The sequence below is a fragment of the Homo sapiens genome, chromosome 2, assembly GCF_000001405.40.
Source record: "Homo sapiens chromosome 2, GRCh38.p14 Primary Assembly".
Classification (NCBI taxonomy): domain Eukaryota; kingdom Metazoa; phylum Chordata; class Mammalia; order Primates; family Hominidae; genus Homo; species Homo sapiens.
This window is the reverse complement of record NC_000002.12, coordinates 11270331-11293905: the sequence shown is the minus strand read 5'-3', so window position 1 is coordinate 11293905 and position 23575 is coordinate 11270331. Positions and strand designations below refer to the sequence as shown.

The following is a 23575-nucleotide window of genomic DNA, read 5'->3' as shown; positions in this document are numbered from 1 at the left end:
ATTACAGGTGTGAGCCACCGCGCCTGGCCCGTACGTTCTTTTAAAATCAGAATATGCTATCGTTAATGCCTCTCTCATTGTAAAGGTTCATTCTCTTTTTAGGACCACGGCTGAGGTTAGGGTGAAGCCATTCAGGCACTTGGAACAAAATTTGAGGGAGAACCCTAAAAAGCCACAGTAATCAAGATATTTTAATGTAATATTTTAAAAATTAATGCAAAGACTCACTATGAACAGAATATCAAACTCAAAATTTTAAAGAAAGGCAAAATCAGGAAGAGTACTGTGCCAAGCCATATTGGCATGTGAGGCAAAAAGGAAAAATTAATAATACTGGTCCTATCTTGCCATGCTGAGCCATGTTAGAGCCTGAGGCTCAAGGAAAAGTCATAAAAACATTCCTATTGCTCCTGTCTTTTGCCCTAGGAAAGTTTCTTTCCCTATGCCAGGCCTTGCTTTAACTATTTAAATAGCCAATTTTTAAAGAACTGCTCACCAGAATGATTTTATAGGCTATGAACTCTTTTTTACAAACGAGGGCCCTAGAAGTTGGGTGAAATTACTTGTGTAGGGTCACACAATTTTATCTTTTCCTCTATTAAGTTTTTCTCCTCAAAGTTACTGCTAACCTCTGAGTTGCTAAATTCTCAGTCCTCAATTAAGTTGACTTAGCCGTCCTCAATTTAAGTTGCCACTAAATGGCAGAACCGTGATGATGTAACCCAGGTTTCTTAACTTCTAGACTTCCTTTACTTTATTATCTCTTTATAAAACACATCTGTGTATTTGTTGGCTCATTACCCTGAGACTGGGTAATTTATAAAGAAAAGAGGTTTAACTGACTCACAGTTCCCTAGGCTGTACAGGAAGCGTGGCTGGAGAGGCCTCAGGAAACTTATAATCATGACAGAAAGCAAAGGGAAGCAGGCATATCTTACATGGCTGGGAAAGGAGGAAGAGGGAGAAGGGGGAGGTGCTACACACTTCTAAACCAGATCTCCTGAGTACTCACTCACTATCATGACAACAGGGAAAAGTCTTACCCTGTGATCCAATCACCTCCCACCAAGCCCCTCCTCCAACATTGGGGATTACAATTTGACATGAGATTTGGACAGGGACACAAAAATCCAAACCATATCAACTATTTTAGTTATGTATTTGTGTTTGGAGTTGAAATAGCAAACAGAGGAAATGTGTTACAAATTCATTTAAATAACATTTCCTGGTCACTAATCTGTACAGCAGATACACAGAAATATGCTTCCTATGCTCTGTAACTAACTGTTTCTTTGGTTGTCTTGACTTTAAAACTTGTTTGTTATTTAGTATTCTTTTAGAGGAATAATTTTACTAATTAAGTTTATTATTTTATTAACTTTTAAGTTCAATATTGTTTATAAGAGCATCATAAAATTTTAATTCTGTTACATATAAGCTATTCTGGCTTGGACACATTTTTTAACCTTTTAACCTTTAAGCTTCAGTTTCTGTGCCTACTAATGTAGGTATGACAATAGTATTAACTTATATGCTGTGAGGAATAAAATGTTAAATGCATGTATAGTGCTTTGCACAATACATGGTGCAAAGTAATCAAGAAAGGTCCCTGTTAATAATATATGCTGTATTAACCTGTATAATGTAGTTAAAGTTTTTGGTAGGTAGGCTGTAAAGAATAAGACATAATTTGTGGTCATGCTGAATGCTAGGTATTATTTACAGTCTATGAATATGGACTTTTTTTTTAATACGGTATTTAAAATAGTAGTACTAAGAAAGTGGTGAACAGTGATTTAGAAATAATAAACTTGTAATCCAAATAGCCTTTAGAAAAGTTACTGCTAACCTCTGAGTTACTAAATTCACAGTCCTCAATAAGGTTGATTTACCAGTCAGATTAACTATCATAGTCTGTCATTTGTCTATCATTCTGTCCCTCTTCCTGCACTCTTCATCTGGCTTCTAAGATGCCATGATGGTCTTGATTTCCCTCCTCAAAAAAATGGTTGTTCCTTTTTAGTCCCCTCTTCTCCCTTGTTTCTTAATATTGATGCATCCCAGGACTCTGTACTTGATTCTTTTCTGTTTATCTATAATCAGTCCTCTGGTGATCTTACCCAGTTTTATAGCTTTAAATACTACATATGTGCTGACAACTCATAAATGTATAAAATTTTCAGCTAAAGGATAATTTGTGCCTCATTTAGCAATTGAAATTCCTAAGAGGGTATCTCCATCATATTGCTTATCAATTTAGACTTTCCAGGTTGGCAGAGTATTTCCAATCTCCTTTTATTTTTATTTTTTTGAAGCATTTTATTTGGATGTTTAACAACAATTAGTTTTTTTTTTAAGACAGAGTCTTGGTCTGTCGCTCAGGCTGGAGTGCAGTGGCGCGATCCTCCGCTCGCTGCAACTTCCGCCCCCTGGGTTCAAGCGATTCTCCTGTCTCAGCCTCTCGAGTAGCTGGGATCACAGGCTTGCGCCACCACGCGCGGCTAATTTTTGTATTTTTGGTAGAGATGGGGTTTCACCGTGTTAGCCAGGATGGTCTCGAACTCGTGGCCTCAGGCGATGCGCCCGCCTCGGCCTCCCAAAGTGCTGGGATTACAGGCATGAGCCACTGCACCTGGCCAACAACAATAAGATACTAAGAAGCAGTGTACAGTGAAAGTGAAATCAAGTTCAATACTTCATTTCTTGACAACTGAAGTATAAAAGGCTCTGTGTTCAGGAAAAGTTAGAAAAATAGACCATTTTATGTATATGTATTTTTTCCCTCATAATAATTATAGTAGGGGAAACTGGGTGTTTGGCTTATACATGTTTTTTTAAAAAATACAGTAGGATAACACATTTTTCTCCCTGCCTTTCTCTCATGCTTTTTGCATATAGACAACCTAAGTTAGTTTCTGCATTGGAGCTAATTCACGTTTCTCAGCTGGTAACCTTAGAGATGTAACTGGGCTAGCCGGGGGCATAGACCAAGGCTTGATTGAAAGCTGTGTCTGACCTATCTAGTGATGCAGATTCATATGAAACTTGGGCAATAAGATGTTGTTGTTGTTTTTCCCTCCAGTGTCTTATTTTAGGAGTGGGGATTTTCACTCCGGGTACTGATTTTCTCGTAATCAGTCTGGTTTTAACTCCTCACCTCATTTAGGCCCTTTTAATTATCAGTCATTGATCTTGCTGCTTTCTGACCTGAAATCCAATAGACCTCTGTGACTTTTAGCACGTACCCATTGCTTGGCATTTTTCTTTCTGGTCAGTTATTGGTGGTAGTGTTTTGTTTAGTCTCAGTGGGGCTGTCATTTTCAAATGTTCTCCTGTCATTTCTGTACGGTTGGAAACAGGCAGATCGTTTTCTTCATTGCTTTAAAATTTTGGTTGTAGTCTTTTCCTGAATTTATTTGTATTTCTTTTTAGCATTTCTTTATCTCAGTTTTAGTATCATTTTTAAAAAAAATGAGATGGGGTCTTGCTGTGTTGCCCAGGCTGCTCTTGAACTCCTGGGCTCAAGCAGTCCTCCCACTTCAGCTTCCCGAGTAGCTGGGATTACAGGGGTGTGCCACTGTGTCTGGTTTAGGGTCACTTAAAGAAAATAATCACAGTTGAAATCACTGACACTTAAAACTTATGAAAGTTTATTTGAAACTGCATAACAAGGAAGGTCACAGACATGGGCTTTCAATCAAGTCCTGAGCTAACTCAGCTTGCCCAGTGACTGGATCTCAGTATTAATTTCATATACTTAAAACACTGTTATCTGAAAACAATTCAGAATTTTTTTCTTAAAAGGTGATACTAAGTAGAATAAATTTTGATTGTAAAAATTATAAACGTAAAGGCCTCAAGTAAGAATGTAAGTTTATAAATGTATATGTTATCAACCTACATTAAAGTATCATAGTATCATTAAAAATTGATGCTACGTAAAAATAATAGTGCCTAATTGTGATAGTGTTTGGTCTTTAAAAAATGGTTTTATAAACAAGATGGTTGAGTTGAGCAAATGTTCAGATGTTCCAAATGCTGAAAAAGCTCTCTGACCCTATTCTACTGGGGAATCTTATGGGAAAATATTTATAAACTTTCCAGATTAGTTAATCTTCACATAATCCCATCTCTTGGAGAGAACTTTTGGGGAAGATACGGGGGAGCAAGGATTTCATTCTTTTATTAATGTCAAGTTGTAGTGTTGCTTCAAAGAAAGGCTTCTCTTGTCTTATGTGTAAATGGAGATTTTAATGCAGAGTTACTTTTATTTCAGTATGAAGTGTTAATATTCTATCTGTTTGAAAAATCTCTGAGGAAGATTTACTGTTGCAATAGAAGCCTTTTCCTTGTCAATTTATATTTTTCTTCTTTTTCTTCTCGTGGAGGTAAATGGAAGCATGGAAGAATGCTTTCCATATGAATATACTTTTCTTTGATTTGAAATTGTAATACAGAGTATAAGTCTAGATACATCTAAAATATAAATGATTCAGATTTTACATTTTAAACTTACTGAAATATCAAAATTATACTAATAAAGATACATTGATTTGGTACTTAAAAATAGCCTAATATGCTCAAATGTTAGAATCCTTGAAAAGTAGTCCAGCTGTTTTGGAGGAGTGTGTGTGTGATGTTGTTTATGTGTATGTGTGTGGGAGGGTATGTCTCAATGTGTGAATTTAACAATCCCAGCTTACCTGGAAGTTGGATTTTTTAAAATGTATTTTTTTCTTTTAGTTGAAGAGAATGAAGATTGCTTTGTATCTGTATTAGATATCAGTGGGATATAAATCATTTTGTTATTAAAAATGTTAATAGTTTACTCTTAACACCTTTGCCCCTTTCTGTTATTAAATAATATTTTCACAAAGTGTTAACATTTTTTAGTGAATGAAAATTAAAAATATGAACTATAACTGAGTGGCAAGCATAGTATGTACAGTTATTCTAGGATTAGTAGATTAATTACCTTTCTAAAGAAAAATTTTTTTTCAGAGACAGGGTGTCACTGTGTTGCCCACGTTGGTCTGGAACTCCTGGGCTCAAGTGATCCTCCTGCCTTAGCCTCCCAAGTAGCTGGGATTACAGGTGTGTGCTGCCACACCCACCTGGATTACCTTTCTAAATTTTCTGTGTAATTTTCCCCATGTTTTCCCCCTATCCAAGTCCCCTAAAGGTTTATTTTTACTGCTGTTTCGTTTTCTGCAATCCTCTAGCTTCCCTGTTTACCCTCCCAGGCTCCCATTGTTTCTTTTAGCAGGGTGTCAGTCTGATCATTGAGACTAGAGGGATGAGTTAAGTCTATTGGACCTCCTAAGATTTAGGTTGTATGCTGCTACTGTCATTTCCTAACATCATGACCCTGAGGAAATCAAAGTCATGTAATTTCTCTGTGCCTTAATTTGTTTCTTCGTCTTTAAATTGAGGATGTTTCCTCCTACCTTCCACAGAGTTACTTGGCGTTGAGACAATGTATGTGATAGTGTTTTAGAAATCGTGCTACCTTCACAAGCATTTCCATTGAGTAATCTGAGACTTAATTACTTTCTGGTGAGTTTTTTTCACCTCCACCATTATGTGTATATAGTTTTTTTCTGTTTTAATGCATGTTCACTGTAGAAAATATGGGAAATACAGAAATGTAAAGAAAAAATAGAAATCCAGACAATGCATCATCCTTTTGTTGTTGTTTTAAGAGGAAATTTAGTTTTGAGACTGAGCTCCCAGAGGGTAAGGATGGTGTTATTTATTTTTGGATTTTCTCTTCTTAATCTGCACTAGGCACAACATTAATGCAGGTTTAATGAGAGGGAACTTAGTGTAGCTGTATTTCTTGAAGTCAAAACCTGATGAAATTTGGCCATTTGAAGAGAGAAAAGAAGACATCTGTCTAGCAAAAATAATAATAGATACATGTTTTGAAATTACATTTTTCCATTGGCCGAAAGAACACAGGAAAACATGATAGGGGCAGTCCTAATATTCTCTGACAGAGGTTAGGAAACCAGTTAAAGCTGTTGGATATGGAACTTATGGACACTATCATATCAAAGTGGGTTGGCATTTTCCTGGTGAAAATGACATAAATAAAATTAAAAGACTTTTTTAAATGAATGCTTGGAAATTGTAAAAACTGTCATTTCCTCTTTTTATTTCTTAACAGGATGGCTTAAATTCCTTGGTCCTTGATTTAGATTTTCCTGCTTTGAGGAAAAACAAGAACATAGATAATTTCTTAAATAGATGTAAGTATGTTTAAACTTCATATTTGATCTTATAACTCTACTTTTGATAAGAGATTTTTGTTTGGTTATTATCAGCCTATAAATTTATTAATTTAATCAACTTATTTATTAAACTTAAGTCTTTTGCTTACCATTTGATTTATTCAAAAATTGTTACTTTTATTTTTAAAGCAATTGCAGAACCGAATTACAATATGCAAAGCAGATAAAGTTCTAAATTTTGAAATACATTATTAAGACTATTTTAGGACAGGTTATTTATAGCAGTTTGAAGAGAAGTTTTAAATTAATATTTACAATTCCAAGACTTAATATTGCCCAGAGAATTAATAAGCTTTATACTTCTGTAATTGTGGACATTTCAGACTAGTTAATAATAAATAATGTAACTATTATTACCATATGTGTGGTAACCCTTAATCTTTGCCATTATTAATGTTGCAATGCAGAAGTAAGTGAAATTGAATTCCAAGAATAAGAAATTCTCAAAACAATTAATGTATACATTGTATCATCACAGTAAGCTCTTTACTTTGAAATTGGCAGAGACTGAGGTATTTTCCCAATTAAACAATCTTATCTATAGTTACTATTTATATAGTATGATTACCACTTTTCAGAGAAGTAGGCCATCAAAATTCATTACTAAGATTAGCCTTGCAAGTAATTTCATGGCAACTTTCTGCCATGATTCAGAGTGCACACCAGGATTGCTTGGGTCATCACTGTGTCAGCTATCATCTAACTTGCTAAGCAACAGAATCAGAAACAGAATAGCTGTAACTGCTACTTTTTGGCAGTCAGTGGTGTTCATTTATATGTGTTAATAAACCATAGAGAGTTTTGGTTCTTTAACGTTAATGTATATCTTAGATTTTTAACTAACAGCCTTTAAAAACTGGCAAGTTTAGCTAAAAACTGTCTTTTCTTGAAACAAAAATATATTTATAAATGTTGATTATGTAAAAATATAAATATGATTGATATTATAAGTATGGTGATCTTTTTATGGTAGATGAGAAAATTGTGAAAAAAATCAGAGGTCTACAGATGAAGGCAGAAGACTATGATGTTGTAAAAGTTATTGGAAGAGGTGCTTTTGGTGAAGTGCAGTTGGTAAGAAAGTGTTTTGTTCTTATTGTTCTCTATGACATCATGGTTTTGTGAAGCATTATCAATAGCAGCTGAGTAGATCTAATTTCTATGCCCACCCATGCCAGAAGGTGGCTTTGTGATCTTGGTCAGTGTCCTCATCTATAAAAGGAAGCCTTTGTTGTCTACTCTGGGTCTCTTCCAGCTCTGAAACACATTGTAGAAAATAAGGCCAATATAGCTTCACATGTGATCTGCCTAGCAGTTACTATTCCACCAGAACTGTTGTATTTTTATTTAGAATGTTCAGATTAAAAACATCTGCTTAAGGAACTGAGATTTATTTAGATGTATAAGAAACCTAACAGATAAATTTTAATAACTGAAATTAAATCTGAAATTTATTTTCGCAGGCCATACTGGTACCAATTGGAATTATAAGAAATGTTGACAATAACTATTACCTTTATATTATTGGCTTTGGAACTCTTCCTAATCTCGTATTCCTGTTTTCATCACCTGAGTATATGAAACTCCTCTATTATTGTCCTTATAGTTAAATTAGAGTCAAATTCTCTTCTTCACACTACAGCGTTTACCCCTCTTGATGGAGCACTAAGAAAAGTAGTGATCATTATAAGCCAGCATGGATTTTGTTAAGAACAAGTCATGATAGACTTTTTTTTCCTTTCATTGCTTCTTTCTTTGGGTTTTTTGTTTCTTTTTGTTCCTTTTTGAGACAGGGTCTTGCTTTGTCACTGAGGCTGGAGTGCAGTGGCACAATCTTGGCTCACTGCAGTCTTGACTTCTCAAGCTCAAGCAGTTCTCCTACCTCAGCCCTCCAAGAAGCTGGGACTATAGGCATGTGCCACACACCCAGCTCATTTTTTGTATTTTATGTAGAGATGGGGTTTCACCATGTTGCCGAGGCTGATCTTGAATTTCTGGACTCAAGGGATCTACCTGCTCGGCCTCCCAGAGTGCTGGGAGTACAAGCATGAGACACCTCACTGTGCCTTTCTTGATAGGTTTATTGGACTTGTAGATCAGGGTAGTGCAATTTATGTAATACATATCCATAAGAAGAATATTATTCTTCTGAAGAAGTCTGACACACTTGAGGATAATATGATGAAATGGCACAGTAATAATTGTATGGGTAGGCAAGCTTTATAACTAATGTACTAGTTTTATTCCAAGGAGGCTGGTGAAAGCATGGATGGTACATGGGACAGAGACCTCCAAGAAAGGTTTCAGGGTCCCTCTTCTCCTATTAAACATTTTTTTTTTTTTTTTTTTTTAGACAGAGTTTCACTCTTGTTGCCCAGGCTGGAGTGCAATGGCGCGATCTCGGCTCACCGTAACCTCCACCCCCCGGGTTCAAGCAATTCTCCTGCCTCAGTCTTCTAAGTAGTTGGGATTACAGGCATGCACCACCACGCCTGGCCAATTTTGTATTTTTAGTAGAGACAGGGTTTCTCCATGTTGGTCAGTCTGGTCTTGAACTCCCGACCTCAGGTGATCCGCCTGCCTCGGCCTCCCAAAATGCTGGGATTACAGGCGTGAGCCACTGCACCCAGCCTCCTATTAAACATTTTAATGACTTGTTTGGGAGCAATGGTAGCACGTTGAATAATTTTGCAAATGAGTTAAACCTGAAGTATAATGAGGATGATTTTAGGTGATGAGCCAAAATTCAGAAATCATCAATGGGAAAGAACATTGGCCAGATAGAAGTGAAATTGAACCAGAATATAGTACTTGGATGTGAAGAACACAGGGAATAGTTGCTTAACAGTACTGTCTTAATTAAAGAACCATTTTCCTTGGATTGTAAGCAGGCAAGAGTCATTAATGATCAGACTACCTAAAGTAGTAAAGAAATTTGGGGCTGCTTTAATATAATTTCTAAATTGATAGAAATTGATGGACCATACCTGTAATATTTTATTTATTCTAGATGCCCTGTTGGCCTGTTTTTTTAAAAAAAGACTTTAGTTTTTTTAAGAGCACTTTTAGGTTCACAGTAAAATCGAGAGGAAGGTATAGAGATGTCCCATATACCCCTTGCCCCAACGTGTGCATAGACACTTCCATTGTCAGCATCCCTCATTAGAGTACATTTGTTACAACTGATGCTTACATTGACACATTATACTCACCCATTGTCATAGTTTACATTAGGGCTTGCTCATGGTGGTGTACATCCTATAGGTTTGGCCAAGTGCACAATGATATATGCCCATCGTTATACTATTATACATAGTATTTTCATTGCCCCAAAAATCCTCTGTGCTGTGCCTATTCATCTCCCAGCCCCAAGTCTCTGGCAGTCACTCTTTTTACTGTTTTCATAGTTTTGCCTTTTCCAGAATGTCATGTAATTGGAATCATACAGTATGCAACCTTTTCAGATTGTCATCTTTCACTGAGTAATATGCATTTAAGGTTTCTCCATGTCTTTTTGTGATCCTTTAGCTTATTACTTTTTACTAAACAATATTCTGTTGTCTGGCTGTACCAAAGTTTATCCATTCACCTACTGAAGGGCATATTGATTGCCTCCAGGTTTTGACAATTATGAGTAAAGCACTATAGACATCCATATGCAGGCTTTTGTGTAGACATAAATTTTCAGTTCATTTGGTTAAATACCAAGGATCTTGATTGCTGGATCATAGGATAAGAGTGTATTTGGTTTTCTAAAAAACTGCCAAACTGTTTTCTAAAGTGGTTGTACCACTTTGCATTCCTACCAGCAATGAATGAAGATTCTTCTTGCTTCACATCCTCCCTGGCATTTGGTCTTGTCGCTGTTATAACTGACAAAAAACAAGTGTTTTGGTTATTTGATTAGGTGTTTAACAGTATCTCCTTATTAATTTGACATTTCCCTGATGACATATGATGTGGAACATCTTTTCATATACTTATTTGCCATCTGTATATCTTTTCCTTTTTTTCTTTTCTTTCTTGCTTTTTTTTTTTTTTTTTTGAGACGGAGTCTCGCTCTGTCGCCCAGGCCGGACTGCGGACTGCAGTGGCGCAATCTCGGCTCACTGCAAGCTCCGCTTCCCGGGTTCACGCCATTCTCCTGCCTCAGCCTCCCGAGTAGCTGGGACTACAGGCGCCCGCCACCGCGCCCGGCTAATTTTTTTGTATTTTTAGTAGAGACGGGGTTTCACCTTGTTAGCCAGGATGGTCTCGATCTCCTGACCTCATGATCCACCCGCCTCGGCCTCCCAAAGTGCTGGGATTACAGGCGTGAGCCACTGCGCCCAGCCTCTTTTTTTTTTTTTTGAGACGGAGTCTCTGTCGCCAGGCTGGAGTGCAATGGCGCTATCTAGGCTTACTGCAACCTCCGCCTCCTGAGTTCCAGTGATTCTTCCTGCCTCAGCCTCCCAAGTAGCTGGGATTACAGGCACTTGCCAGTATGCCCGGCTATTTTTTGTATTTTTAGTAGAGATGGGGTTTCACCATGTTGGCCAGGCTGGTCTCAAACTCCTGACCTCAGGCAATCTGCCCACCTTGGCCTCCTAAAGTGCTGGGATTATAGGCATGAGCCACCACGCCTAGCCTGTATATCTTCTTTGATGAAGTGTCTGTTCAGGTCTTTGGCCCATTTTTTGATTGGGTTGTTTATTTTTTTTTATTGTTTAGTTTTGAGAGTTCTTTGTATAACAAATTCTTTTGGATAATAGACCTTTGTCAGGTGGGTGTTTTTCAAATATTTTCCCCCAGTCTTTGGTTTTTCTTCTCATCCTCTTGACATTGTCTTTGAGTAGTAGACAATTTGAATTTTAGTGAAGTTCAGGTTATCAGTTCTTTCTTTCTTGGGTTATGTCTTTGGTGCTATATCTAAAAAACCATTGCTCTAATCAAGATAATTTAGGTTTTCTCCTATGCTATCCTCTAGAAGATATAAGGTCTGGTCTTGATTCTTTTTTTTTTTTTTGCATGTAGATATTCAGTTATTCCAGCAACATTTGTTCAATCCATCGTATTGCCTCTGCTCCTTTGTCAAAGATCAGTTGACTATATTTATGTGGGTCTATTTCTGGGCTCTCTATTCTGTTTCATTGATCTATTTGTCTTTTCTTTCACCAATATCACATTGTCTTGATTACTGTAGCTTTATAGTAAGTCTATAGGTTGGATAGTTTCATCCCTCCCATTTTGTTCTTCCTTATTTATTTTTAATTATTATTTTTTGAGACGGCATCTTCCTCTGTTGCGCAGGCTGGAGTGCAGGGGTGTGATCCTGGCTCACTGCAACCTCTGCCTCCTGGGCCCAGGTGATCCTGCTGCCCCAGCCTCTCGAGTAGCTGGGACTACAAGCGTGTGCCACCACTCCTGGCTAATTTTTGTATTTTTAGTAAAGATGGGGTTTTGCTATGCTGCCCAGGCTGGTCTCAAATTCCTGGGCTCAAGCGATCTACCTGCCTTGGCTTTCCAAAGTGCTAGGATTACAGGTGCGAGCCACTGCACCTGACTGTTCTTTAATATTTTGTTGGCTATTCTGGGTCTTTTGCTTCTCCATATAAACTTTAGAATCAGTTTGTCAATATCCGTGAAATAACTTACTGGGGTTTTTTTTGTGATTGGATTGAAAATATAGACCAACTTGGTCTATATTTGAAGAACCGGTATCTTGACAACATTGAGTCTTCACATCCAAGAACATGGACTGTCTCTCCATTTGCTTAGTTCTTTGATTTCTGTCATCAGAGTTTTGTAGTTTTCCTCATATAGATCTTATACATGTTTAGTTAGATTTATGCCTGTTTTATTTTTGTAGGTGCTTTAATGTAAATGGTACTGTGTTTTTAATTTCAAATTCCACTTTTTCATTGCTCATATACAGGAATTTAATTTCATATACATTGCTCATATACAGAATTTAATTTCAAATTCCACTTTTTCATTGCTCATATAGAGGAATTTAATTTCATATGTATTGCTCATATACAGAATTTAATTTCAAATTCCACTTTTTCATTGCTCATCTACAGGAAAGCAATGAACTTTTGTGTATTAACCTTCTGTCTTGCAACTTGGTATAATGACTTGTTCCAGGAAACTTTCGAATCCTCTACATAGATGATCACATAGATCCTTCCCAATCTGTATACGCTTTACTTCCTTTTCCTGTGTTATTGCATTACCTCGGACTTTCAGTACAGTGATGGAAAGGATTGGTGAGAGGAAATGTCCTTGCTTTTGTTCTTGATCTTAGTGGGAAAGCTAGTTTCTTACCAGTAAACATGAAGTGAGCTGTGGATTTTTTATAGATATTCAAGTTGAAGTTCCTCTATTCTTCATGTACTGAGGTTTTTTTTTTTTTTTTTTTTTTTAAATAATGAGTGGGTGTTGGATTTGTCAGATGCTTTTTCTGCATCTATGATATGATCATCTGTCTTTCTTTTTTAGCCTGTTGGTGTGATGGATTACAATAATTGATTTTGAAATGTTGAACCAGTCTTGTATACCTGTAATAAATCCCACTTGGTTGTGGCGTATAATTCTTTTACACCGCATAATACATTGTTGGATTTGATTGGCTAATATTTTGTTGAGGATTTTTGCATCTGTGTTCATTAGAGATAATGGTTTGTAGTTTTCTTGTAATATCTTTGTCAAGTTTTTTGCTGACCTCGTAGAATGATTCTGGAAATATTCCCTCTACATCTGTCCTCTAAAATACATTATAGATAATTTCTTCCTTTAATAGTTGGTACATTTCACCACTGAATCCATCTGGACCTCATGCTTTCTGTTTTGGAAGGTTAATAACTATTGATTTAATTTATTTAATAACAGTAAGTCTGTTTCTTCTTGTATGAGTTTTGGCATATTATGTCTTTGAAGGAATTGGTCCATTTCATCTAAATTATTAAATTTGTGGGCATAGAGTTATCATTCATTCATTCACTGAGACAAGTTCTTGCTCTATTGCCCAGGCTGGAGTGCAGTAGTGTAATCTCAGCTCACTGTAACCTCCGCCTCCTGGGCTCAAGTGATCCTCCCACCCCAGCCTCCTAGTAGCTGAGACTACAGGTGTGCACCACCATGAATGGCTCAATTTTTTTTTTTTTTTTTTCTGTAGAGATGGGGTTTCACCATGTTGCCCAGGCTGGTCTAGAACTCCTGAACTCAGGTGATCCGCCCGCCTCGGCCTCCCAAAGTGCTGGGATTTCAGGCATGAGTCACTGCACCCGGACCCTTATTATCCTTATTAATGTCTGTGGAATCCTTAGTGGTTTTCCCTCCTTCATTTCTGATATTGGCAGTTTTTATTCTCTCTCTTCTAGCCAACCTGGCTAGAGCCTTATCAATATTATTGGTCTTTTCAAAGAACCAGCTTTTAGTTTCATTGATTTTTGTGTATTCTTGTTTTCTATTCCTTGGTTTCTGCTCTAATTTTTATTATTTATTTTCTTTTGCCTACTTGGAATTTAATTTGTTTCTTCTGTTTCTAGTTTCCTAAGTTGGAAACTCAGATTATTGATTTTAGATATGTGCATTAAGCACTGCTTTCACTGTATCCCACCAATTTTGAAAAGTTTTGTTTTTATTTTCATTTATTTCAAAATATATTTTAATTTCTCATGAGATTCCTTCTTTGACCCAAGAGTTATTTAGAATTATGTTGTTTAATCTCCACATATTTTGGGATTTTCTAGTTATCTTTCTGTTACCAGTTTCTGGTTTAAATCCATAGTGATCTGAGAATAGACACAGTATGATTTCTATTTGAAGTTTGTTACGGTGTGTTTCGTGGCCCAGAATGTGATTTATCTTGGTGAACGTTCCATGAGAGTTTGAGAAAAATGTGTATTCTGCTGTTGTTGGATAAAGTAGTCTATAGATGTCAGTTATATCCAGTTGATTGATGGTATTGTTGAGTTCCACTATATTCTTAACTGGTTTTCTGCCTGCTGGATCTGTCCATTTCTGATAGAGCAGTGTCAAAGTCTCCAGTTATGATAGTGAATTTATCTCTTTCTTCTTGCTGTTCTATCAGCTTTTGCCTCATGTAATTTGACACTCTGTTGATAGACATATAACACATTGATGATTGTTATGTCCTCTTGGAGAATTGATCCTTTTATCAGTTATGTAATGCCCTTTTTTATCGCTGGTAACTTTCCTTGCTTTGAAGTTTGCTCGTCTGAAATTAATATAGCTACTTCTGCTTTCTTTTGATTATTGTTATGGTATATTTTTTTCCATCCATCTACTTTTCATCTATATGTGTCTTTATATTTAATGTGAGTTTCTTATAGAAAAAATATAGTTGGGTCTTTTTTCTTGATTCACTCAATCTCTGTTTTTAAATTGGTCCATTTAGACTTGTGACATTCAAAGTGATTGTTGATATAGCTGAATTAATATTACCATATTTGTTGTTGTTTTCTTTTGTTGCCTATATTCTTGTTCCTATTTTTGTCTTCCATTCTTTTTCTGTCTTTTTTGGTTTTAACTGATCATTTAATGTGATTTCATTTTCTCTCCTTTCTTAGCAGATTGTTTATACTTTTTTTTTTGCTTTTTATAGTGTTTGTCTACTTTTTTCCTTTTTTTTAGTGTTTGCCCTAGAGTTTTAAATATTTATTTACATTTCTGAGAAAATTAAAAATAAAACCACCAGCTGGGCACGGTGGCTAATGCCTATAATCTCAGCACTTTGAGAGGCCAAGGCGGGTGGATCAACTGAGGTCAGGAATTCGAGACCAGCCTGGCGAACATGGCAAAACCCCGTCTCTACTAAAAATGCAAAAAATTAGCCAGGCGTGGCGGCAGGCACCTGTAATCCCAGCTACTTGGGAGGCTGAGGTGGGAGAATCGCTTGAACCCAGGAGGCAGAGGTTGCAGTGAGCCAAGATCGCACCATTGCAGTTCAGGCTGGGCGACAGAGTGAGACTCTGTCTTAAGAAACCAAAATAAAATAAAACTACCTTTACAATCCAGCAATTCCACTAGTAGGTATATATCTAAAGGAAGTGAAATCATTATTTAGTAGAGGTATCTGCATTCTCATGTTCATTGCAGCATTATTCATAAGAGCCAAGATATGGAATCAACCTAAGTGTCTAACAATGGATAAAGAAAGATAATATGGTATGTATAAACAATGGAATACTATTTAGCCTTACAAAAGGAAGAAATCCTGTCATTTGGAACAACATAGATAATTGATGGTTGGAGGATCTTGTATTAAGTGAAATTAGCCCAGGCACAGAAAGAATACCACATGATATCACTTATATGTGGAATCCAGAAAAGCTGAGTGCATGGAAGTAGAGAATAGAATGGTGGTTACCAGCAGCTAGGGAGATCTTTGTCAAAGGATACAACATTTCAGTTAGATGGGAGGAATAAGTTAAAGAGATTTATGGTACAACATAGTGACTGTAGTTAATAATGTATTTTCAAAAAATCTCTAAAAGAATAGATTTTAACTGTTCTCAACACAGAAAATTAAAAGTATGTGAGGTAATGCTTATATGTTAATTAGCTGGTTTTAGCCATTCTACAGCATATACTTACTTCAAAACACCATGTTGAACACCATAAATATATGCAGTTTTTGTCAATTAAAAAATAAAATTTTTATGAAAGGAACTTCAAATGCTAAATGAGGAATCCTGCCTGTAAATCATGCTCTATGATTCCATAAGACATTCTGGAAAAAGACAACTTTGGAAGCAGTAAAGATTAGTGCTTGCTACCCAGAGGAAAAGAAGTCATACGAAAAAGATACTTGCACACACGTTTATAGCAGCACCATTCACAATTGCAAAATCTTGGGACCAACCCAAATGCCCATCAGTCAACGAGTGGATAAAGAAATTGTGCTATGTATATATGATGGAATACTACTCAGCCATAAAAAGGAATGAATTAACGGCATTCATAGTGACCTAGATGAGATTGGAGACTATTACTCGAAGTGAAGTAACTCAGGAATGCAAAACCAAATATCGTATGTTCTCACTGATATGTGGGAGCCAAACTATGAGTACGCAAAGGCATAAGAATGATACAGTGGACTTTGGGGACTTGAGGGGAATGATTGGAGGGGTGCAAGGGATAAAAGACTACAAATAGGGTGCAGTGTATACTCTTGGGGGATGGGTGCACCAAAATCTTACACATCACCATCAAAGAGCTTACTCATGTAACTAAACACCACCTGTACCCCAATAACCTATAACCTATGGGGGAAAAAAAGATTGGTGGTTGCCAGAAGGTTGTGAAGGGGTGAATGGGTGGAGCACAGCGGATTTGTGGGGCAGTGAACCTATTCTGTCTGTTACCATATTGGTGGATACATAACATTTTATCTGCTAAGGCCATAGAATTGTATAGCACAAACAGTGAACCCTAATGTGAACTCTGGACTTCGTTAATAGTAATGTATGAATATTGCTTTATCAGTTGTAACAAATGTACCACACTAATGCATTCCTGTAATATGTTAATATTAGAGGAAACTGAAAAAGAGAAGGGGACAGGGAGTATATAGTAAATTTGTGTACCCTATTCGGTTTTTCTGTAAACCTAAAACTGTTCTAAAAAATAAAGTCTATTAATAAAAACATGAAAAAAGAAATATACTCACAGTTTATCCAAGTCCCCTTTCAAATCACAGCATACCACTTCACGGGGGGTGTAAAATACCTTATAATAACAAAATAATCCTAATTCCTTCCTCCTGTTACGTCTATCATTGCTGTTATTCATTTTGTGCATATATATGTATACATACACACACACCAGTACACATACAGACAAGCATATGTTACTGAATATATTGTTGCTGTTATTATTTTGAACAAATTTATTTGTTAGATCAGTTAAGAACATGAAAATAACAGTTTTTGTTTTACTTTCACTTATTTCCTCTATTTCTATTTTTGCAAGAAACATCATTGGAGTTACAGGGTTTGCATTGACTCTAGGTTGTTTTGGGTAATGGTCATTTTAACAATACTAAGTCTTCCAGTCTAATAACAAGGGACTGGGTTCCATTTACTTATGTCTTCTTTAATTCCTTTTAGCAGTGTTTTGTAGTTTTTATTAGATGTCTCTTTCAATTAAGTTAATTCCTAAATGTTCTTTTTGATGTTATTGTAAATGGAATTGTTTTTGTAATTTTCATTTTAGATTGTTTATTTTTAGTGTATAGAAATATAATTGACTTTTGAGTGTTGACTTTGTATGCCGCAATTTTGCCTAACTTATTCTAATACATTTTTTGGGAGGTGGGATCTTTAGGATTGTCTACATAAAAGATCATAAATCACTTATGGACAAAGATAGTTTTATTTATTTTTTATTATCTAATTTCTCTGGCTAGAACTTCCAGTGCTATGTTGACTAGAAGTGGCACAAGCCTTTTCTTGTTCTTTATCTTAGCGGAAAAACTTTTAGACTTTCACTATTGAGTATGATATTCACGTGGGTGTTTCACATATGTAGTTTATTACGTTGAGGTGGTTTTCTTTTACTCCTGGTTTGTTCAGTGTTTTCTTTTTGTAAATCATGAAAGAGTGTTGAGGCAGGGCACGGTGGCTCACGCCTATAATCCCAGCACTTTGGGAGGCTGAGGTGGGCGGATCACCTGAGGTCAGGAATTTGTGACCAGCCAGGTCAACATGGTGAAACCCCATCTCTTCTAAAAATACAAAAATTAGCCGAGTGTGGTGGCAGGCAGCTGTAATCCCAGCTGCTAGGGAGGCTGAGGCAGGAGAATCTGTTGAATCCGGGAGGTGGAGGTTGCAGTGAGCTGAGATTGCACCACTGTACTCCAGCCTGGGTGACAGAGCAAGACTTTGTCTCAAAAAAAAAAAAAAAAAAAAAAGATTGTTGAATTTTGTGAAATGTGTTTTCTCCCTCAATTGAAATGATTATGTGTTGCTTACCTTTATTCTGTTAATGTGGTTTAATACAGCGATTGATTTGCACATGTTTTACCATCCTTGGATTCTAGGAATAAATCATACTTGGTCATGATGTGGAAACCTTTTAATATACTGCTGATTTCAGTTTGCTAGTAATTTGTTGAGAATCTTTCTGTTAATTTTCAGAAGTGAAACTGGTTGATAGTTGTTTTCTCGTACAGTCACCTGCCCTTACCTGTAGTTTTGCTTTCTACAATTTCAGTTGCCCGCAGTCAACCAGGGTCTGAAAATATTACATACAATAAGGTATTTTGAAAGAGAGAGAGAGACCATATTCATATAGCTTCTATTAAAGTATATTGTATAATTGTTCTTATAATTCTTTTTTTTTTTTTTTTGACATGAAGTCTCGCTGTTGTCCCCCAGGCTGGAGTGCAATGGCACGATTACGGCTCACTGCAACCTCTGCCTCCCGGGTTCAAGCGATTCTCCTGCCTTAGCCTCCCGAATAGCTGGGATTACAGGTGCCTGCCGCCACGCCTGGCTAATTTTTGTATTTTTAGTAGAGATGGGGATTCACCATGTTGGCCAGGCTGGTCTCGACCTCCTGACCTCAGGGGATCTGCCCGCCTTGGCCTCCCAAAGTGCTGGGATTACAGGCATGAGCCACTGCTCCCGGCCTGTTCTTATTATTCTTAATTTTTACTGTTGCTTAGTTTATAAATTGAACTTTATCATAGATATGTATGTATAGGAAAAAACATAATATATATATAGGATTCAGTACTCTCCATGGTTTCAGGTAACCACTGGGGTCTTGGAATGTATTTCCTGAGGATAAGAGGGGACTACCGTGATGTCTTTATCTGTCCTTGGTATCAGGGTAATGCTGGCCTCATAGAATGAGTTAGGAGGTGTTCCTTCCTCTTCAGTTTTCTAGAGAAGTATGAGAATGATTGATGTTATTGAAATATTTGGTAGAACTCACCAGTGAAGCCATTAGGTAAAGAGCTTTTCTATGTCAGGAAAGTTTTGGTTACTGAATCAATCTCTTTACTAATTGTAGGTCTATTTATATTTTCTGGTTTTTTGTGTGAGTTAGTCTTGGTAGATTTTGTGTTTCTAGGAATTTGTCTGTTTTATCTAAGTTATTCTATTTGTTAACATAGAATTGGTCAGAGTACTCTCTTAATCATTTTAATTTTCGTAAAGTGGGTAGTAATGTCCCCACTTTTATTTCTGATTTTAATAATTTGAGCATTCTCTGTTTTTTTAATTAGTCCATCTAGCCAGAGGTTTGTGACTCTTTTGGATTGTTTCAAAGAACCAACTTTTGGTTTCATTGATTTTGTTGTTGTTGTTGTTGTTGTTGTGTTCTCTGTTTTATCTTTGCTCTAATCTTTATTATTTCCTTGCTTCTGATGGCTTTGGGTTTAGTTTGTTTTTCTCTTTCTAGTTTCTTAAATTGTAAAGTTTCGTTTTTAATTTCAGATCATTCTCGTTTTTTTAATGTAAGCATTTATAGCTATAAATTTCTCCCATATACTACTTTTGCTGTATTCCGTTAAGTTTTTTGTTGTGTTGTTTTCATTTGTCTCTGGAGTATTTCCTAATTTCCCTTCTGATTTCTTATATGATTCGTTGGTTATTTGTGTGTTGTTTAATTTCCATGTTTTTGTGGATTTTCTCATTGTAGTTATTTTATCGAAGTCTTTTTTTTTTTTTTTGAGATGGAGTCTTGCTCTGTCACCCAGGTTAGAGTGCAGTGGCGCAACCTCGGCTCACTGCCAGCTCCACCTCCCGGGTTCACGCCATTCTCCTGCCTCAGCCTCCTGTCTTTTATCGATTTCTGACTTCATCCCATTGTGGTTGGAAAATATACTTTGTATGTCTATCTTTTTAAATCTTTTGAGACTTAGTCTGTGGCCTGACATATGATCTGTTTTGGAAAATGTCCCATGTGCACTTGAGAATATTATATATGTTATTATGTGTTCTGTATATATCCCTAAGATCTAGTTAGTTTATTGTGTTAAGTCCTCTGTTTCTTTACTGTATTTCCATACTCCATTCTATTAAGTGATAATAGAGAATGAAAGTCTCCAACTATTATTATAGAGCTGTCTATTTCTCCCTCAGTTCTGTTTTTGCATCATATATTTTGATGGTCTGTTACTAGGTCTATAAATGTTTGTAATTGCTGTGTCTTCTTACTGTGTTGAAACTTTTATTAAGATATAATGTTTTTTTTTGTTTCCTGTAACCTTTATTGATTTAAAGTGTATTTGGTCTGATATTAGTATAGCCACTTCTGCTCTCTTTTGGTTACTATTTCCATCCTTCCACTATCAATCAGTTTGTGTCTTTGGATCTAAAGTGATTATCTTATGGACAATGCATAGATGGATCTTTTTTTTAATTCATTCTGCCAATCTCTGTCTTTTGATTGGAGAGTTTAACTCACTTACATTGAATGTCATTACTGGGAAGAAGAATTTATTTCTGTTATTTTGCTATTTGTTTTCTATATGTTGTAAAGCTTTTTTTTTTTTTTTTTTTTTGACCCTTATTTCCTGCATTTCTCTTGGCTTTTGTGTTCAGTTCATTTTCTTATAGTGGTATGTTTACATTCTTTCTCAATTTGTTTAGTATGTATTCTGTTTTCTTTGTAGATACCATAGGCATTACATTTAACATCCTAAACTTATAAAAATTCAGATGTCAATTTATACCAGCTTAGCTTCAAGAATATACAGTAACTCTTGCTCTTTTTTTTTTTTTTTTTTGAGACAGAGTCTTGCTCTGTCGCCCAGGCTGGAGTGCAGTGGCACCATCTTGGCTCACTGTAACCTCTGTCTCCCGTGTTCAAGTGATTTCCCTGCCTCAGCCTCCCGAGTAGCTGGGGTTACAGGTGCCCATCACCGTGCCTGGCTAATTTTGGTATTTTTAGTGGAGACCATGTTGGCAAGGCTGGTCTCAAACTCCTGACCTCAAATGATCCACCTGCCTCGGCCTCCCAAAGTGCTAGGGTTATAGGCGTGAACCACTGCAGCCGGCCAGCTCTGCTTCTTTAACAGCTCTGCCCTCACCCTTTCCAGTTGCTGTCACAGAATTACCTCCTTATTCATTATGTGCCCCAAACCATAAACTAATCACTTTAAATGCATCAATTTTTTATATAGAACAAAATGGGTTTATGAAACAAAGTTTCAATAATACTAGCTTTTAGATTAATAATTTAAAAATATGTATTGGCCTTTTAAATCATGTAGAAAGCAAAAAGTGCAATTATAATCCATTATTACAGTAATACTGGACTTTATAATTGTGTGTGTATTTACCTTTATTGAGATTTTTATTTCTTCACATGACTTCAACTTACTGTTTAAACAGTGTGTTTTCATTTCACCCTGTAGGACTTCATTGACCATTTCTTGCAGGTCAGGTCTACTGGTAACAAGCTCCCTTAATTTTTGTTTATCTGTTAATGTCTTAACTTTCCTGTCAGTTTAGGGAAAACACAACAACCAAAAAACCCAGTCAAACAATAACAAAGCTTTGTCACTTTCCAAGGCAGTCCTTTCCTCAGATCTGCTCCAAATGAACCTTTCAATTCTACTTTTTTTTTTTTTTTTTGAGATGGAGTCTCGTTCTGTCTCCCAGGCTGGAGTGCAGTGGTGTGATCTCTGCTCACTGCAAGCTCCGCCTGTCGGGTTCACGCCATTCTCCTGCCTCAGCCTCCCGAGTAGCTGGGACTACAGGTGCCCGCCACCACGCCCGGCTAATTTTTTTAGTAGAGACGGGGTTTCACCGTGTTAGCCAGGATGGTCTCGATCTCCTGACCTTGTGATCCGCCCGCCTCTGCCTCCCAAAGTGCTGGGATTACAGGCGTGAGCCACCGCGCCCAGCCCCGAACCTTTCAGTCCTTTCAACCTCAGATGGCATTGTTTCAAGTTCCCAGAGCACCATACCCCTTGAGTATATCCTATCAATATGCCCTTTAAAACAGGGCAACAGGTTTCTGGTTGCACAAGTAAGGAGCTTGGAAATCACCATCCATCCTAACAACAAATAAAATGCTGAAGAGACTGAAAAACCAACAGTGCTTCCGGGATCCAAAAGACAGGTGAGGACACCAAACAAACCACTGACCCCAAACTAGAGAGACAAACAAATAGCCATGGCTATAAGATCCAGGATTCATAAGCAGAAATTGCCACGAGAACCAGTGCTGAGGTAGGAAAACCTGAGCTGTAACTGACAAATTGCTGGGGGCTAAGTGGTGGTCAAGTCAGACAATTAAAAACTTGCAGGGGACCCAGTTATAGGTGAGCCCCCACACCTTTACAGATTTTATATCCAAGAGCTCAACCAGAGTCTCACAGTGAATATTGGAGAAAAATCTCCTCATGCTTCCAAGAAGATTAAAGGGAAAGGAACATTTTGAAATATGCCACAGCATTTGCTTCTTAACAAGGCCTGCCCTCCAGATGTAACCAGAGCATAATGGAACTTGGGGAAGGTTAATACACAACTCCAGCCCACACTAGCCATCCTATGACTCAGAAGCACATTTAAAGTTCACAGTATAGAGGCATAAGGATTCGCTGAGACCTAATCATAAGACTATAGAACACTGCCCACAAGATTGTAGAACCTAAAACTATAGGAAACATTGCCTCACTCTACACCTTATATTACTAAAGACCTATTTACAGAAGTTCCTTTTACTCAATGCATCATGTCCCGCTATCAAGGAAAAATTACAAAGCATACTAAAAGGCAGGAAAAAAGATTTTGAAGAGACAGTAAGCATTAGAAGCAAACATGGTAGGAACACTAAAATTATCAAACCAGCAATTTAAAAGAACTTTGATTAATATGCTAATGGATAAAATAGCATGCATGAATAGAGTGGTGATGTGAGTAGAGAGATAGAAATCCTAAGGAACAAGTGAAAATAAATTCTAGAGATCAAAAACACTTTTAACAGAAATGAAAAGTGCCTTTGATAGACTTATTGCTAGACTGAACAAGGTTGATAAAATATCTCTAAGTTTCAGGATATATCAATAGGTACACCCAAAACTGAAAGCATGTAGAGGGAAGACTGAAAACATCAGAACAGAATTATCACAGAACCATGGAACCACTAGAAAAGGTGTAAAATATGTGTAATGGGAATACAAGAAGAAGAAAAAAACAACAGAAGAAACATTTGAAATAATAGTGAAAATTTTACCCAAATTAATGTCAGACACCAAACCACAGATCCAGAAAGCCCAAAGAACAGAAAGCAGAATAAATGTCTTAAACGTTAGATTT

At 36.7% G+C, this 23575-nt stretch overlaps 1 protein-coding gene across 6 annotated transcripts in view; it reads left to right on the top strand.

Annotated features, from left to right (window-relative positions):
• The window catches only part of ROCK2 (Rho associated coiled-coil containing protein kinase 2), a 165679-nt gene that overhangs the window by 51532 nt on the left and 90572 nt on the right, over positions 1-23575 (top strand). For 5 of the 6 annotated variants that reach the window (NM_001321643.2, XM_011510417.3, NM_004850.5 and 2 more), the window contains exons 2-3: positions 6170-6251; positions 7267-7367. In NM_001321643.2, the coding sequence (NP_001308572.1) occupies positions 7302-7367 (66 nt within the window). In that variant the 5' untranslated portion in view covers positions 6170-6251; positions 7267-7301. Of the gene's footprint in view, positions 1-5537; positions 5557-6169; positions 6252-7266; positions 7368-23575 lie in introns of those variants that run through there. The other variant, XM_017005379.3, reaches the window with a different exon arrangement.